General features: G+C 40.6%; 1 protein-coding gene, 1 long non-coding RNA gene and 1 pseudogene across 3 annotated transcripts in view, besides 3 other annotated features; 2 read left to right on the top strand and 1 right to left on the bottom strand.

Moving 5' to 3' along the window:
• TNFSF4 (TNF superfamily member 4) overlaps nucleotides 1-17,911 on the top strand; it is a 277,864-nt gene that overhangs the window by 92,546 nt on the left and 167,407 nt on the right. The window lies entirely within an intron of this gene.
• LOC100506023 (uncharacterized) overlaps nucleotides 1-17,911 on the top strand; it is a 242,096-nt gene that overhangs the window by 118,968 nt on the left and 105,217 nt on the right. The gene's annotated exons all lie outside the window — the stretch shown is intronic.
• Nucleotides 1,533-1,592: a silencer, noted in NCBI's record as "silent region_1554". NCBI's record gives its function as "represses an Ori minimal core promoter by ATAC-STARR-seq in GM12878 lymphoblastoid cells {active_cell/tissue: GM12878}" and the evidence as "EXISTENCE:reporter gene assay evidence [ECO:0000049][PMID:35858748]".
• Nucleotides 2,628-2,797: an enhancer, noted in NCBI's record as "active region_2102". NCBI's record gives its function as "activates an Ori minimal core promoter by ATAC-STARR-seq in GM12878 lymphoblastoid cells {active_cell/tissue: GM12878}" and the evidence as "EXISTENCE:reporter gene assay evidence [ECO:0000049][PMID:35858748]".
• Nucleotides 3,048-3,097: an enhancer, noted in NCBI's record as "active region_2101". NCBI's record gives its function as "activates an Ori minimal core promoter by ATAC-STARR-seq in GM12878 lymphoblastoid cells {active_cell/tissue: GM12878}" and the evidence as "EXISTENCE:reporter gene assay evidence [ECO:0000049][PMID:35858748]".
• On the bottom strand, nucleotides 6,135-6,496 carry RPL26P11 (ribosomal protein L26 pseudogene 11; annotated as a pseudogene).

The raw sequence follows: 17,911 nt of genomic DNA, 5'->3' as shown, positions 1-17,911 counted from the left end.
TTCCTTGGTTCCTGACCCTACATCATTCCAACTTCCTTCCATCATCACGTCCCCTTCTCTGACTCTGACTCTCCTACTTTTCTCTGTAAGGACCATTGTGATTACATTGGGTCCACCTGGCTAATCCAGGATACCCCCCCCCATCTCAAAATCCTTAACTTAATCATGTTTGCAGATTCCTTTATCATGCAACTTACATAGTTACAGGTTCTGGGGATTAGGACATGAACATCTTTTGGAGACCCTTTTTCAGTCTACCATGGTCATGTTGTAGCCTCACCTTATCTATACTATAGTGTGTGTTATTCTTATTTATGTGGGACAGGTGCTAAGCAGAGTGGTGTGATGGAAGAGGCCAGGTGCAGTGGCTCCCGCCTGTAATCCCAGTACTTTGGGAGGCTGAGGCGGGCAGATCACCTGAGGTCGGGAGTTTGAGACCAGCCTGACCCAACATGGAGAAACCCCCCTTCTCTACTAAAAATACAAAAATTAGCTAGGTGTGGTGGTGCATGCCTGTAATCCCAGCTACTCGGGAGGCTGAGGCAGGAGAATCGCTTGAACCCAGGAAGTGGAGGTTGCAGTGAGCCGACATTGCACCATTGCGCTCCAGCCTGGGCAACAAGAGCAAAACTCCATCTCAAAAAAAAAAGGCTGGTATGGAGTTAGCACAACAGGAACTCCCAGAACTGCTTCAGAGCTGTGAGGCCTTGGACAAATCATTTAAATTCTCCTGGTTCTCACTTTCTAGTTTGTGAAATGAGGCTATTGGTCTAGGCCAAGGAAGGCAAATTCTTGCTGGGCATACTGTCAACCTTCCCTCCCGCACCCATGGCAGAGATTACTACTTGTTCAAGGCTCTTTCTCTTGTGATCTTGTGTCCCAGCCTAATCTTCCAAATAGGCACTACCAGATGGCATGAGATAATACTGAGATGAAATCTACTTTCTGTCCCCAAAAATGATCATCTCTGAGGCCTACATCTTAAGCTATTAAAACAACATAGGCTCCTACAACTCAACTAACCTTATCATGGATCATCGAATGCCCAAAGTCAATTGACTTCCTTTCTTTTCTATATATTTTCTTCCCCAAGTTTTCTCTAACCTATTAACTTGGCTAATCAGTATCTTATATATCTTTGCTTCTCCTCTGAAGGGAGCAGTTAGGAACAAAAAGAGAAATAATAGGCCAAATGGGTCCCCAGCTATCTTATCATCAATCAGGTATAAATAAGAGTTGCTTATACAGAAACACTGCTCTGCCACCACACCCATGGCAATGCAGGTACTTATACTTACACCTGTACCTACACTTACATTTTAAAGCCCATGTCATTTTTTCCCCCCACACATTGATTTCTACATAGAGCTTGCCTCTTCCTAATATACAGAGAACACAGCAACAAATTATACTATTGATTGCTAGACTCATGAGCTAGAAAGAACTCTCTCAAAGGCAATTGGCAACCAGGCATGACCAGGCATGTGAAACATCTCTCTGAGAGTGAGTTTGAAACATTAACATTAAAGACATATAGCTTGGATTGTGAAAGAAGCTATGGACAGGATGTGAACTCACTTCTACTGGAAGGAGTATAATGCAAAGAATACTCAGGGGGACTTAAGTTGAGCACAAGAATCAAAGTCAGGTACTAGACCAAAAAACCAGAATAGTCAAATGATCACACTGTCTTGTGATACGTGGTTTCTGGAATGCATTACGAAAAATGAAAGAGCACTTTTCTATTAAGATAACTGTCTCTTATCAGATTCTACCTAGGTTTGCTGTAACCTGATGCTTTCAACTCCATTTGTGGTTTATAAGATTTTCCAAAGAAGAGACAATTTTTCTTCTTATTCTAATACCCCTTCTCATCAAAATGGAATTTTGAGTTACTTCATTTTATAACCACAGGACAGAGAAGATGCCTCTTCTGAGATCTGAGTTCCTCACTGGAAATTCTTGGTAGAGACAAAGATGTCTGGTGTCCTGGAATAGGTTGCCTTCCCTGAAAAGCCAGAGCATCCCTCCCCCACATTAAGTGATTGCCCTCACATAAGCCTGCCTTATTTTTCTCACAAAATGTGTCAATATCTGAAATTATTTTATCAATCTGTTTACCTTGGGAATGGCAACCCTGTAGATGATGAGTTGGGGGTGCTGATCTAAGTTGCAGGCTTGTTTTCCTTGGCCAGCATAGTGGTCATAGATCAATTTTGAATTGAATGTCTTTAGACAAGCAGAAACTCTCCTGCTCAACATAATCACCACTCCCTGTATTCTCACCCTTGACTACTTCACACATGTGAGTTCTTTGCATAGCCCAGCAAGGCATTTGAGTATGGGAACTGTGGCTTCCCTGTAGCAGGTCTCCTGCTCTGGAATATAACTGCATGGCAGTGGGACCTCATCTGTACCCCAGCATGCATAATGGAAGGGATTCAACAAGTATGTGTTCACTGGGGTATAAAATGAGAGGTTTTATTTCTGGCTTCTTCTAACTTGTTGTAGGTCAAAGAGGGGGCGTTCTGCACTTTTCATACTTTCACTTTCTCACCTGTGGGAGGTTTGAGTGGTACAATGTACATGGAGCTGAGAGGGAAATGGGTGGAGGCCCTGTTAAATTCTTTTGGAGACAGCCCTCCAGAGTCAGCACTCACTAGACAATGAGAAACTCCCTTCTAGCCAGGCTTTTGCAAAGAACTGAGATGCTTCCTTAGACGGGAACAGAGGTTCACAAGTGTTATTGTTGTACGTCTTCTCTCTGTGAGAAGTGAGATAATGATGAGTCAGCCAGTATGGTGGACAAGATAATGCTCCCCGACCCCGCAAAGATGTCCACATGCAAATCCTCCAAACCTGTGATTTTGTTACCTTATATAGCAAAAGGGACTTTGCAGATGTGATTAAATTAGAGTCCTTCGGATGGGGAGATTATTCTAGATTATCCATCCAGGTCGGCCCAATATCATCACAAGGATCCTTATGAGGGAAAGAGGAAGGCAGGAGAGTCTGAGTCAGAAAGAGTTATGTGATGACAAAAGCAGAGGTAAGAATAATGCCATTGCTGGTGGGAGAGCATGAGCCAAGGGATGTGGGTGGCTGCTAGAAGCTGGAAAAGACTGGGAACAGATTATCTCCCAGAGCCTCCAGCAGGAATACAGCTCCCAACTACGCATAGGTTTTAGCCCAGTGAGACCTGTGTGGGACTTCTGACCTTCAAAACCATTAAGATAATAAACTTGTGCTGATCGAAGGCATTGTTTGTGGTAATTTATTATAGCAGCAATAGGAAGCTAATACAGTGAATCAGTATTTATCGAGCATCATTTGTGAGCCAGGAACTGCATAATGTTCTCAGAATAAAAGATAGATATGGTCTTCAAACGTAATTTTGTAGGGAGGGTAACCTTTTTAAAAAAATTTTAATTTCTATTTTTCCAAAGTTTTTTATTTTTTATTTTTTGCATTTCAGTAACTTTATTGAAAGGTATATATCCCTTAGTACTAAAACATAATGGTAGTTGGTTAGTTTACCTCTGCCAACTCAGAATTAACAATGATGTATTCAAAATGTTGAAATTTATCAGCCTTTTGGGAAAACTAAAAAGATACCCATAAAACAGGATATTGGCCTGAGATTTCCTTTTTTTGTTGTATCTCTGCCAGGTTTTGGTATTAGGATGATGCTGGCCTCATAAAATAATTAGGGAGGAGTCCCTCCTTTTCAATTTTTTGAAATAGTTTCAGTAGGAATGGTACCAGCTCTTCTTTGTACATCTAGTAGAATTCAGCTGTGAATCCATCTTGTCCCAGGCTTTTTTGGGTTGGTAGGCTATTTATTACTGCCTCAATTTCAGAACTCATTATTGGTCTGTTCAGAGATTCAATGTCTTCCTGGTTCAGTTTTGGGAAGGTCTATATGTCCAGGAATTTATCTTTTTCTTCCAGATTTTCTAGTTTATGTGCACAGAGATATTTATAATATTATCTGATGGTTTTTGAATTTCGGTGGGGTCAGTGGTAATATTCCCCTTATTATTTCTGATTGTGCTTATTTGAATCTTCTCTCTTTTCTACTTTATTAGTCTAGCTAGTGGTCTTATTTTATTAATTTTTTTAAAAAACCACCTCCTAGATTTGTTGACCTTTTGAATTTTTTTTTTTGTGTGTGTGTGTCTCGACCTCCTTCAATTCAGCCCTGATTTTGGTTACTTCTTGTCTTCTTCTAGCTTTGGGATTTGTTTGCTCTTGTTTTTCTAGTTCTTTAGAATTATGGAACATGGACATTTTAATGAATTTCTTATTGCTATGAAGATGATGATCACTTAGAGACAATTACATGAATACAATTAAAACTGATTCCACAGAATGCTTATAAATGCATACATTTTCCTCCAAAGAAACATGTTTTTCACAGATTTAAGTAACAAATGATTTATATAGGATTCTCCAGATTCCAAAATATGTACAGATTTTTTTACTCTACAGAAACTGATGAGCAGTGGTTGAAAAAGAGAGTTGCTTTGTCTAACATGGCTCTTACGAAATTCTGTATCAATACACATTTTTCAGTAACCACACATTTTCCTTTTATTATTAAATGAAATTCTGGACACATCAGCATGCAGGACAAAACCATTCCCATTTCCAAACACTATTTCAAATGAGATCATGAGTGGCTGACAGCATGACTTAATTTTAGCCATACACACATGCACACGCACACAGGAGCATGCACACACACAGGCACATGTGTTGCGGGAAGTCAGAGACCCCGAATGGAGGGACCTGCTGAAGCCATGACAGAAGAAAATAAATTGTGAAGACTTCATGGACATTTGTTAGTTCTCCAAATTAGTACTTTTGTAATTTCTTATGCCTGTCTTTACTGCAATCTCTAAACATAAATCATGAAGATTTCGTGGATATTTATCACTTCCCCAATCAATACTCTTATAATTTCCTATGCCTGTCTTTACTTTAATCTCTTAATCCCATCATCTTTGTAACCTGAGGATGTATGTTGCCTCAGGACCCTGTGATGATTGCGTTGACTGCACAAATTGTTCATAAAGCGTGTGTTTTTGAACAATATGAAATCTGAGCACCTTGAGAAAAGAACAGGATAACAGCGATGTTGAGGGAACAAGGGAGATAACCATTGGGTCTGACTGCCTGTGACCTGGGCAGAACAGAGCCATATTTCTCTTATTGCCAAAAATGGGTAAGAGAAATATCACTGAATTCTTTCCCCAGCAAGGAATATTAATAATTAACAGCCTTGGGAAAAGAATGCATTCCCAGGAGGAGGCCTCTAAAACGGCTGCTCTAGGGGTGTCCGCCTTATGCAGTTACAGATAAGGGATGAAATACGCCCTGGCCTCCTGCAGCACCCCCAGGCTTGCTAGAATTAGGAAATTCCAGCCTGGCAAATTCTAGTCAGACCAGTTCTCTGCTCTTGAACCCTGTTAAGAGGTTTATCAATGACAATGCGTGCACAGTGGGACATGGAACTTCATTAGTAATTCTAGTTTCATCCTGACCTTGTGATCTCGCCCTGACCTTCTGCCTTGTGATCTTTTATTGCCCTTGAAGCATGTGATCTCTGTGACCCACACCCTATTTGTACACTTCCTCCCCTTTGAAAATCACTAATAAAAACGTGCTGGTTTTACAGCTCAGGGGGCATCATGGAACCTGCCGACATGTGATGTCTCCCCCGGACACCCAGCTTTAAAATTTCTCTCTTTTGTACTCTATCCCTTTATTTGTAAGACTGGCTGACACTTAGGGAAAATAGAAAATAACGTACGTTGAAATATTGGGGCTGGTTCCCCCGATCCACTTGCAAACACGTGCACCATCTCCAGTCTTCTCTGTGACTTTTGACTAACATGGTCACAGCAGCAGTTAATGAGATCACTTTAGAAGACGACACACAAGTTAACAGTAAGGTGTCCCCGCTCCTGAGAACTCTGCCTGAGCACTGGCAGGGCTGCATCCCCGTGGATGTGAGTGAGGAACCCAGTGTCTGAGGTCTTTCTGGTTTACCAGAGAAAGTGAGCAGCTGTAGCAATGACGGTCACCAGTGTGCCTAAAACTCAATGGCCACCATGAGTATATATATTTTTTCTTCATTTCAAATTTTAATCAAAACTTGTATATAAGATTACTTTATTCCTGCATCTCCTCAATTTTTTCTTCCTTGTATTTGCCCTTTTCCTTTCCTGCCTGGTGAGATTTGGCTTTCTGTTCAGGGATCTTTTTGCGGTCTTTGTCCAGTTTTAGCCTAGTGATAACCGCCTTGCTGGGGTGAATGCCTACATGGACAGTTGTGCCATTGGCCTTTTCCTGCTGCACCCATTCAATGTAGATGACATATTTCTTCCTGTAAACCTGGACTACTGTACCAATTTGCTGACCTTTATAGTGTCCTCGTACTCGTACAACCTGAACTTCATTATCCTTTCGGTTAGGCATGGATTGAACATTGATATGGGCATTTAGTGCTATAAACTTCCCTCTTAACATGGCCTTAGCTGTGTCCCAGAGATTATGGTACATTGTATCTTTGTTCTCATTAGTTTCAAAGAACTTCTTGCCAAATTAAAAAATTTTGAAGCTTTAAAAAAATCTAGACCAAAGTGGGAGCAGCCAAAATGAAGTTCAATCCCTTTTTGACTTCTGACCGAAGCAACAACTGCAAAAGACATTTCAGTGCACCTTCCCACATTCACAGGAAGATTTACCTTGAGGGTAAATGTTAAGTAAATAGATGTGTGAGAAATGTTGTGACAGAGTAATTCAGGGTGCTATGGGACCATAACACAAAGAGAAACATAGCCTAGATTGGCATGATTGGATAGGGATGCTTAGGTTGAGATCTAAATGATGGGTAGCAATTGGCTAAGAGAAGAGACCAGCTAAGAATGTTCCAGACAGAGGGAACAGAATGGGTGAAGGCCCAAAGTGAACATGATATGTTCATGGAGAAAGAAAATTCAGTGTAACTGGCAGGCTCAGGATGTGAGGAGAGAGATAGGTGAGGCTGGAGAGGTAGGCAGGTCCAGATAATATAAGGCTTTGATGATCACATTAAGCTCATGCTAAGATTTTGGACTTATTATTAGTATTTTTTAGCCATAGAAAATGCTCAGAGTGTGTACTTTTCCTATGGGCTGCTGGGTGACAGAACTGGATTTTCTTTCTAGTCTTTAGATAGACAGAGAGTCATTTTGGCAAGGGCTTTTGGAGCTTTTCCATACCCTCATCTTCTCTCCTCTTACAGGAATAGGAGACAGTTTCACTTCCCTGTCCCTTTGCAGGTAGCTGGGGCCAGGTGACTACATCTGGCCAAGGGGTCATTAGTAGAAGTAACGTGTGTTATTTTGAGGTTGACTCATTGAATTGCCAGTGTGAGACCCTCCAGCATTCTTTTGGCCTGTTGTGTCAGCCTCTGAGGCTGCATATTTTAGATGTTGCATCTAGAGGTTGGTGGAGGCACCAAGAATCTGGATTGCAGAGAGCTGCTACATGGAAGAGTTGCTCCAAGGTCTCCTAGGCCCACAGCAAACTTTGAGTTAGCCTTTGTTCTGTTAAGCTCTTACTATTTTGGTGGTGTTCCTGCGTAGCTTGGCTTTTTTTCTGATTAATTCAGTCATCTAATACAGTAGCTTCTTATCATCAGAATGAAACTGGGGAATAGTTTAAACATAGAGAATGTTGGACACCCACTTGCCTTGTTCTGATATAGGCCTCAGGTAGAGCCAGGGGACTTATTGATATGTTTTATATGGAGGAAGTACTGATTCTACCAGTCTGTCTTAGCCAGGATTACAATAACAGGGCATGTGAGTTGAATTGTGCTGGCCTGCCCTGGGTACATCATATGTTACTTAAAAAACCCATTTTAATAATGCCAGTTGTTGTCTCTGGGATCCTAAGACATTCTTTGAGAAAACAGTATATTTTAGGAATGTCAGCAAAACCAAGCTTCAATAAAGCACTTTTGTTTTATGTAGCCTTCACATAGAGGAACTTGATGCAGGGATGGAAGTATTTTTAATTAAGAGAGGAGCTACATGATTTATAGTGTGATGGGTCTGATCTACACAGTTCATTTATAACTTAGGTAAATATATACCATTTATTTTCTACAATAAATATATTTTATGCTATACAATGTTCTACTTGCTTCTGTTTTGAAGATTACATTTAACCTAGTTTACACAGGAACTTTTTATTCAATGTTGAATGAATATCCTAGGAAGGAGTTGAGAGCTCTTGAAAAGGTTGGTAAGTGATTTGCTTTTTCTTAGCAAATATACCAATAGGTATAACTGGTTTAAACTTACATCCTTTTATACATGTGTATAATTTTGTTTTAAATTAAAAATCTATAAAGAGTTTTTGGCCATTGGTCATTCTCTGAGTTTCTTATGCTTCTGAGGATCCCGGAATATAAATATTTCTCCCAGACTTTCTCTTATCTTACTGAGCATCCTACAGCTTAAAAGAATTGAAGTACTTGTGTATTCTTATTCCCAAGATTTATATAGAGTCTTTTGAGTTTAACCAAGGCATTGCCACACTGTCATGGGAAAAGTGAAACTGGGGAAATCAGTGAAGGCCACTTTGTCGGTTAGAGACAGAACTAATACTGCAGCCTGTCTACCTTACAGGTTATTGTAGAGCTGAAGTGCATTACTTCAGAAAAGATGATAATATATAGTATACTTATACTATATTTATAACAGAGTTCAAAAAGTCCATCGAATACATTTAGGACTTCAATGGATTTCTGATGCAATATGGGGCAGAGTTCTGTTGTAAAACACTAAACAAAAACAAGCAAGGGGGCCGGGCGTGGTGGCTCACGCCTGTAATCCCAGCACTTTGGGAGGCCGAGGCGGGCAGATCATGAGGTCGGGAGATCGAGACCATCCTGGCTAACGTGGTGAAACCCCGTCTCTACTAAAAATACAAAAAATTAGCCGGGCGTGGCAGCGGGCGCCTGTAGTCCCAGCTACTCGGGAGGCTGAGACAGGAGAATGGCGTGAACCCGGGGGGCGGAGCTTGCAGTGAGCCATGATTGCACCACTGCACTCCAGCCTGGGAGAGAGAGGGAGACTCCGTCTAAAAAAAATAATAATAATAATAAAAACAAGCAAGGAAGCAAGGGAAACTTAAAGTGAAGATGTGGAGATTTTTCACTGCTCACCGTTGTTCAGACCTGTGTTGGGGAGACTACTTTGTCAGTTAAGATAGGCTAGGTTGTGGTACAATAACAAACAATTCTAAAATCTCAGTGGCTTAATACAACACAGGTTTATTTATCACTCACTGTATATGTCCTAGTTTTGCCTGGTTCTATGGTTACATTGCCCATTTCATCCAAATTTTTTATATTCATTGGTTGTTCATAGTATCTTCTTATGATGTTAATATTTGCAAGATTTGTGGTGGTCTTTTTCATGCATGATACTAATAATTTGTGCCTTTTCTGTTTTTCTTGATCATTCTTGCTAGGGGTTTATACACTTTATTAGCTTTTCCAGAGGACTAGCTTTTGGCTTTGTTGGTTTTCTTTCTATTGAATGTTTATTTTGCATTTTGTTGATTTTTGTTCTTATCATTATTTTATTTCTTATGTTTGGGTTTAATGTGCTTTTGTTTTTCAAGCTTTTTGAGATGGGTACTGTATTAGTTTGTTTTCACACTACTGATAAAGACATACCTGAGATTGGGCAATTTACAAAAGAAAGAAGTTTAATGGACTCACAGCTCCCCATGGCTGAGGAGGCCTCACAATCATGGTGGAAGGTAAAAGGCATGCCTCACATGGTGGCAGACAAGAGGAGAGAGTGAGAATCAAGTGAAAGGGGTTTCCCTTATAAAACGATCAGATCTCATGAGACTTTTATTCACTACCACGAGAACAGTATGGGGGAAACTGCCCCCATAATTCAATTATCTCCCACTTGGTCCCTCCCACAACATGAGGGAATTATGGGAGCTATAATTCAAGATGAGATTTGGGTGGGGACACAGCAAAACCATATTAGGTACTTAGATTATTGATCTTCTTTGTCCTTTTCTACATATTTCAAGCTCTGCTTTCTTCTAAGTTCTGCTTTACCTGCATTCCATGAATTGGAAAATCACTGCCTTAGACTCACTCCCAAGTTACACCTTAGGCCAGTGATTCTCAACTAGGAGTGATTTTGTCCCCTTCCCCTGCCAGGAACATTTGGCAATATCTGGAGGCATTTTTGGTTGTCACACTTGAAAGAAGGGAGCTACTGGCGTCTAGTGAGTAGAGGCTAGGTGTGCTGCCCTAAATTCTATAATGCACAGGACAGCTTTTTACAAAAAAGAATTATGTGGCCCCAAATGTCAATGTTGCTGAGGCTGAGAAGCCTTGTGGGCTAGACCTACATTGCCAGTAGTTATACACCCCCTTGCCATAGTGCCCTCCACATGACTTGTTCCTCGTTCTTTCAAATTCCAGAGATGCTGTCCCTGATAACCCTGTACACATAACTCTGCATAAAATAAAATGATTTCTTTCTGCCTGCCTTCTTCCAATAGAATAGAAGCTTTGTGAATGCAAGGCTTTGTCTATTTCATTTACTTTCCTTTCCTAGTATGTAGAACAATGTTGAATGAGTTAATACTTACTGCATGATTGAGTGCATTGTTGCATGGGAAAGACTGTCTCATTCCCAGTGTGTGGCACTGAAAATACAGTGGTAAATAAGGCAGAGGTAGTGTAAGGGTAAATACAAAAAGAAATTTGCCCTGGTGCCAGAAGGGAAAGAGACTCACTCACCACTTTCCTTAGAACATTTACTTTAAATAAAAATTATATTTATGAGTTCTCTCTCTGATTCTTTGAGATATCCATAAGAATTTTTAAAAGCTAAATAAGATGTCTGCCAATTTTACAACCCAAGGATCTTTTCCTCAAGGACTTGGGAGCTATCTCATTGAAATGGAATCATTCAAGGAGATAGTGCCCCTGTCTCCCAGACTCTGGGAGAGGGTAGGAACCTAACTTCAGTAGTGGCCCTGACTCCAAGTTACTAACCTACTTCCAGTCACAAGTATGCAAAAAACTTATTTTTCCTCTGGATAAAGTCAATTAGCAAATATCGTGGCTACACCAATTATCAGGTGGATTTAGGAGGAACTATGTATAACAAATGTTGCCATCAAGTCCTCTTACTTGAATACTAGTTATTGTTTATCTTGAGTACATGTGTGGAATGGGTTCCATCTGCTTGGCTGTATAAATGGATGAGATTTCTTTCTGTTTTTGCAATTTCTTTAGTTTACCTGTGATGCACAACACATTCTGGTTTAATGATTATTCAATAATATAATGGCTTTCTTTTTCTTCTACTTTTGTGGAGAGGTTTTTCTGGGTGGGCAGGATATTATATTACATTTCCCCAAGAGTAGTTATTGCCATACCAGGAAGGTGGGTTAATAATTTAAAAGATGCTCCACTGCATCCTTTCTTTTGAAAACTAACACCCTCCTTATATTTTCTTTATCTCTCCCTTGGTAGCTGTTTTTGGAGCATCTGTACTGCTGAATCTTAGGGAGACTCTCATTTTCATCACTTTCTTCCCCCTCCACATCATCCAGGAATGCTTTCACATGGTATGTAAAGTGCTATGTAACTTCAGCTTCCAGGTAGGGAACATGCAACAATTAATACATGGATGGACTCTCCTTTTGGTCCTTCAGTGGGTTTATTTTAGACCTCTCCTTTATGGGAGTGGGTACAGAATTCAGAGGGATTTAAAATTTTTTTTCAGCTATGTGGTCCTCACTGGTTGGTACTGTGGTCTAACATTCCACATTGGGGTATGCAGGTATTTTCCCTACAACTCGCTCTGATCTGAAGACTTGTGTCTCTTTTCTGGATAGCATATGTATTTCTGATGATGTTCAAGCAACTGTTTTACTGAAGAGCTTGCTTAAGTGTCCTAAAGCAGTGCAGAGTTGAGGGTGGGGATGAGCGAATCATCAGTGGTGACTTTGAGCTAACTCCCTCACAGTGGATGGGGAGGGGTGGATCAGGCTTCATTTTAGGTCCTCAGGAAGGTGAGCCACATACATAAACTTCTTCTAGTCCCACCCATTCCCTCTCATCAGCCCTCTCGTTAAATCCTCCCTACCCAAAGTCCCTGGCCCTGCCCTCAGGGTCACTCTTGCCTTTCCTTAGGGGTAATGAAATGACAGGCTCAAACCATTCCTAGGACTTACCACTCTGCTGCCTCAGGTACCAGTGGGATTGCACCGAGTCTTCCTCCATCTGGTGGCCCACTGACTCCCTTTGTCAGGGGTGCCCCAGGAATGGTAGTCACTTTCACTTCAGTTGGGTCTCTCTCTGTTGATGACTGAGACTCTCTCCTTAACCAAACTTCAGTTATGCTTCTCCAAGTCCTCTTTTTGATTAGGCCTCACTCTTGGGCTCTGTCCTTGGTCCATTTAGTCCATCTTTCAAGAATCCTGCTGGGTTTAGTGAACATTCTTTACCCTTGCTATCTGATCAGATTCCTCATTCCCCAACCTCAATGTCTGATCATCCTGGCCTGCCTTCAGCAAGTCTTATCAAATCAGTTTAGCCAGAATCCTATTTATCTTTGAGGATTTTCTGTTAATAATTTTCTATCTACTGACCCCCAGCCTGATTTTTGGCTGTAAATCTCCACTCATTGTTGTTTTCAGAATTGAGCCAAGGTCTGTCTATACTGAGGTCTCTCTTTCTCTGTTGCAATGGTTACAGAATAAAATTAACTTCCCGGTTTTCTTTGGCATTGGCAATGCCAAAGCCAGTTTTTCTCTTAAAACACTTGATGGCAAACACACTTTTCCACTGGACTAATAAATGTTTTCCAGAAAACTTCTTCGTCTGTCCTGTGTGAGGTGTGTGTATTATTTCTCTTATTCTTTGACCCTATTCCTTGTGAAACAGCAAAAAGACAAAAATCTTGGTTTTGCTATGCTATAGGCACATTTTCCTCTGTTCTTTTATTACAAAGGGCCTCTGCATTAATTGGAGATTACCTCTGCCTAGTTTTTCGATCTACATTCAAATAGTATGTTTACTTCTGATCCCCCAAATTCTCCTGTGGCAGATATGATTGAAATTTCAGTAATACCACTATGTAAATATTCAGTATTGAAACATAGACTTGCAGATATAACAGGGAAGAACTGTTTCAATGAGAGAGGTTGCATGGACTCTTTGAGGAGAGATCTTTACTTCTATAGATGACTTTGCCAATGATTCAATGGAAATACTTCAGTGATTGTAGAGTCCTGTCTAATTGAACATTGGAAGTTTGTATAAAACTTCTAAAATTATTTTTATGCTGAATATAAAAAGTAATTTGGTATCTGCTTTATTCCCTCTTGTCCTCTCGTAATGAACTTGGTCTCCAGATATTAAAGTTGGAGGTGTTTTCTTAGGGTTATTAAAATGTCAGTACAGACTAAAATATGGAAGACACTAAATGTAAGCATGATACTGAATGTATGTCTGAAAGTGAGTCTGATGCAAATTTTGAATCCCTGGGATTTATGGTGCAATCTTGCCACTTGCTGAACTTTGGACCAAGGGAGAAGGAAGCCAAATGATATTGCTAAAGCTCCTAGTATTCTAAGGTACCGTGTTAGTTGTTTACCCATATATCATCCCTTTACATTTTATTACCAACCATACAAAGTATGTTTTATTGTCTCATTGTTTGCAAATGAGGAGAGCCAAACTTAGAGAGTTTAAACGGTTTCTCAAGGTCTCCTATATTCAGGTGCAGAGTTGGAATTGAAGATTCTTGACTTTAAAGCTCTTACACTTTCCCCCATGCCATACTGCCAACTTCAAGAGTCAAAAATTCTGCAGGTGCTATTTACTGCTGTACAATAGTGCGCTGCAATGTTACATCAGCACAGTAGGATTGTGGCCTTGCTTTGTGTGGTCTCGTGCTGGTATTCTATATTCCTTTGATGGGAGAGATCATGACTTATTTAGCTTTGCCTTACCAGCACTTAGCACAGGGAGTGAAATTTAGGAAAAACTCAATAAAGGGCTGTTAAAATGGATGAAGAAATCAGACATGACCATCCTAAGCCTTTTAATTCCTAGAACCTGTAGGATCATTTAAAGTTCTTTTTCTCCTTGTCCACTTTAATATTCATAAAGTTGCCAGATATTGTCATTTTACTTCAATAATGTCTCTAACACCTGTCTGTTCCTTTTTATTTCCATTGTCAGTACTTCTTTTCCAGTTAGCTTCAGCTAGTGTCTTCACTACTTTCATTCACTTTCCATTTCATTCCATCTTATCTATCCATTCATTCATTTATCCATGCATCCACCCATCCATCCATCCATCCATCCTTTTATTCCTTCAACAAACATTTTGTGAGCACTTATTAAGTACCTGTAAAACATGTTATCAGAATACAGTGTGTAAGTTCCTTAAGAAAAGATTGTTTAGAATGCCATGAGAGTATGAAAAAGGGTTACTCTTATCCAATTTGGGGAGGGATATTCAGAGAAGGCTTCTTGGAAGAAGTATAATCTGAGCCAGATCTTGAACAATCAGTTGAGTTAGGAAGGCAAAGGGGATAGAGAAGGGAAAAATAATACCCCTAGTGTCTCTCCCTTGCTGCATCACCATATCCTTTCCCATTTCTATTTTTCTCCATGTTCCTTGAATGCGCATTGGGCTGTCTCCTGCCTCAGAGTCTTTGCACTTGTTTTCCCCTCTGCTTATAATGGTTTCGCAGATATCTGCATGGCAAACTCTTTCATTTCCTTCAGGACTTGCATGTCACCTTTTGAGAAATGGCTTGTCCGACTATCCTATTTGTAGTTGCAATGACTCCCTTCCCTGACAGAAATTCCCATCTCCTGCTTTTGCCTAGCAAATATCATCTTCTATCATACTATATATTTATTTATTTCATTTACTCCCCTATTTTTGATTACTGCTGTCTTCACTACCTACATGAGTGCTGGCACATAGAAATTTCAGTAGTTATTGATCATATGAATGAATGAAAGATTGGGAGATAGGAATGCAAAGGCAAGGATGTGAGAAATTTTAAGGAAATGTAAAACTAATTTGGTCTGATTCCTTCTGAGATCCCTTATTGCACCACCACAGAGCATTGTGTCACCTTCTTCCTTAGACTCTTGCTGAGTGCTGACTCTACTAAGGGGAAAGAAGCATGTTTTGTTGATGGTGGTAATGACTAACTTTCCTTCTCCCTTCTAGATAATGTTGCTTTGTGCCTTCACCACTACCAAACGATCACTTCTAGATTTCTCAGAAAGGGCTTTTCTCTTTGGCCAAGACACAAGGCTCTTCTGCAGAGCTATGGACTTCCTGGTTCCCGTTTATCATCACATTATAGACATTGGGATTGGAGGAGAGGAAAGTTGGAATTTTTGGTTAATGGCTTCAGCTTCCTTAGTGTGTAGGAGGTTAGGTCATCTGTTAAGAGGGAGGAGGGAGGATGAAATTTGGAACCTTTACTGACGGGATTAGGACAGGCAGTTGATAAGAGAAAACAGAGGTGTTGAACAGAATAAAGTGTTTGAGAAACGGATAATATGTCCATAAGATGGTTGTATTTTTTTTTTTGCATAATGCATCATTCGTGTTGTGGTTTTGTCAAAAAGGAAGAATGAAAATTTATTTCCACTGTTGGGAAAATAATAAGCAAGATGTAATAACACGCTGTGATTTGCTTATGGAGAATCCTTGTTATCCTCAAATTATGTGAGCTGCTTCACCTGGGAACATCCACTGGGCAGGCTAATCATCAACATATATAAAATAATCAGACATCCAGCAGGTATATGGGGAAGGGGTAGCCCTATAGGAACACTGGGCCTTCCAGAGGCAGATTTCATGGTTATTTCCTAGTCCCAGAGAGATTAACGATTAACCCTGAGGCTATGATTTACCAAGGATTCCTTGTAGAATCTGTGCCTGTTACTGGTCAAAGCCTCTTGGAGGGACATCCAAGCTCATAAGATCATACAAGTCCCCTCCCCCCTTGCAGTAGGAGAGGCTGTTGGCAACCAAATGCCCTTGCTCTTACCTTTATCAGATCACCCTAAAGTTAGCAGAAAGTCCAACACTGTGCTATGACCATACCCTAGAGAAGCAGGATAGAAACAGAAGGAATCAAATAAGGGGAGGAGCAGGAATCTAGAGGGTACTTGGAGCCATTGAGACTTCCAGAAGGGGTGAAAGGCATCTTCAGGATGCTGGACTTGGGGTCTGGGACAGGAATTTTAGGGTAGGAAATGGTAAGGTTGCTTCTGCAATGCAGCACAGAGCAATCTTTCACCAGAATGGAAAAATCAGAGCGCATACCAACAGAAAAGGAAGGAAAACAACATTTATGGGGCACTGACTTCATCTGGTATTTGTCTAAAGCTTATTGCATACCACTAACATACGTTACTTATATCTCATAGCAGTTCTGTGAAAGTATTGTAATGTCTCCTGTTTGCAAGTGACAACATTGAGGCCTAGAAATGCTCACGAACTTTCTTAGAGGCACAAGCTAGTAAGTGGCCAAGCTGAGATTTAATTATGTCTCCTGATTCCACATCCAGAATTCTTATTACCTCATCCCACTTGGGGAGGAGGTCGTGGCAGCCAAGCCACTGGGTGACCAGGCCTTAGTCATATTCTGGCAAGGGGGCCTGTGCTATATACAGTTGTTAAATGTCTGTTGACTAATAAATACAAAGACCTGCTGTCTCTTTTCAAATTTTGGGGTTACACGAATTATTCTGAGCCTCCTCTGTCTTCTTTCATAGCTCGTTGGCTCATGATTTGATCTTCTACACTGCTGTGGGCTCTGTTTGTCCCAAGCAGATAAGAAGGAAAGGTATTTCTTCTGTTTGCCAAGTGTATTATTCTGTTCTCATGCTGCTATGAAAAAATACCTGAGACTGGGTAATTTACAAAGAAAGAGGTTTAATTGACTCACAGTACAGCATGGCTGGGGAGGCCACAGGAAACTTACAATCATGGCAGAAGGGGAAGCAAACACATCCTTCTTCACATGGCTGCAGCAAGGAGAAGTGAAGAGTTAAGTCAGGGAAAAGCCCCTTATAAAACCATCAGATCTCATGAGAACTCACTCACTATCACGAGAACAGTATGGAGGTAGCTCCTCTCATGATTTAATTACCTCCCATCGAGTTCCTCCCATGACTTATGGGGATTATGGGAACTACAATTCAAGATGAGATTTGGGTGAAGACACAGCCAAACCATATCACCAAGACTATGCAGCACTCACAGACAGGGCATCTTATTGCTAGTAAACCTGGATAATGGACAAAGAAGGAAAGGGAGAGGGAAAGCCTACCCATCTATTTTATCTCTTCCCCCTCATTCCCATTCTAAAACCCTCTTTATCACTCTCAGGCCATGGCTGGGGAGAGAGACCTCCAGGGAAACCAAAGCATTCACCTGTGTCTGCTTTCTTGTTTGTTACCTGAAGAATATCTAGATTTCTTGAGGTCGACCAATCTCTCCTCCTTTTCTCCTTACAAATCTATCTGCCCTGGGGAACTGGTTGGGGATATAGGCTTCAAAAAAACTTCCTCACCCATTAAATTGCTTAACCTTTTTTTAGAGGGTCAGGCTCATCACCTCAAATGGTCCATCCTTAGTGCTGCTTCCTGCATTTTGCTCCTGCTATACAATTTCTCTTTCCCTACTATAGTAATCAGGGTTCTCCAGAGAAACAGAACTAATAGGGTATGTGTGTGTGTGTGTGTGTGTGTGTGTGTGTGTGTGTGTGTGTGTAAACAGATTAGATACATAAGGAATTGGCTCATACAATTATGGAGGCT

Source organism: Homo sapiens, chromosome 1 (genome assembly GCF_000001405.40).
Source record: "Homo sapiens chromosome 1, GRCh38.p14 Primary Assembly".
Classification (NCBI taxonomy): domain Eukaryota; kingdom Metazoa; phylum Chordata; class Mammalia; order Primates; family Hominidae; genus Homo; species Homo sapiens.
This window is presented reverse-complemented; position numbering and strand designations above follow the sequence as displayed.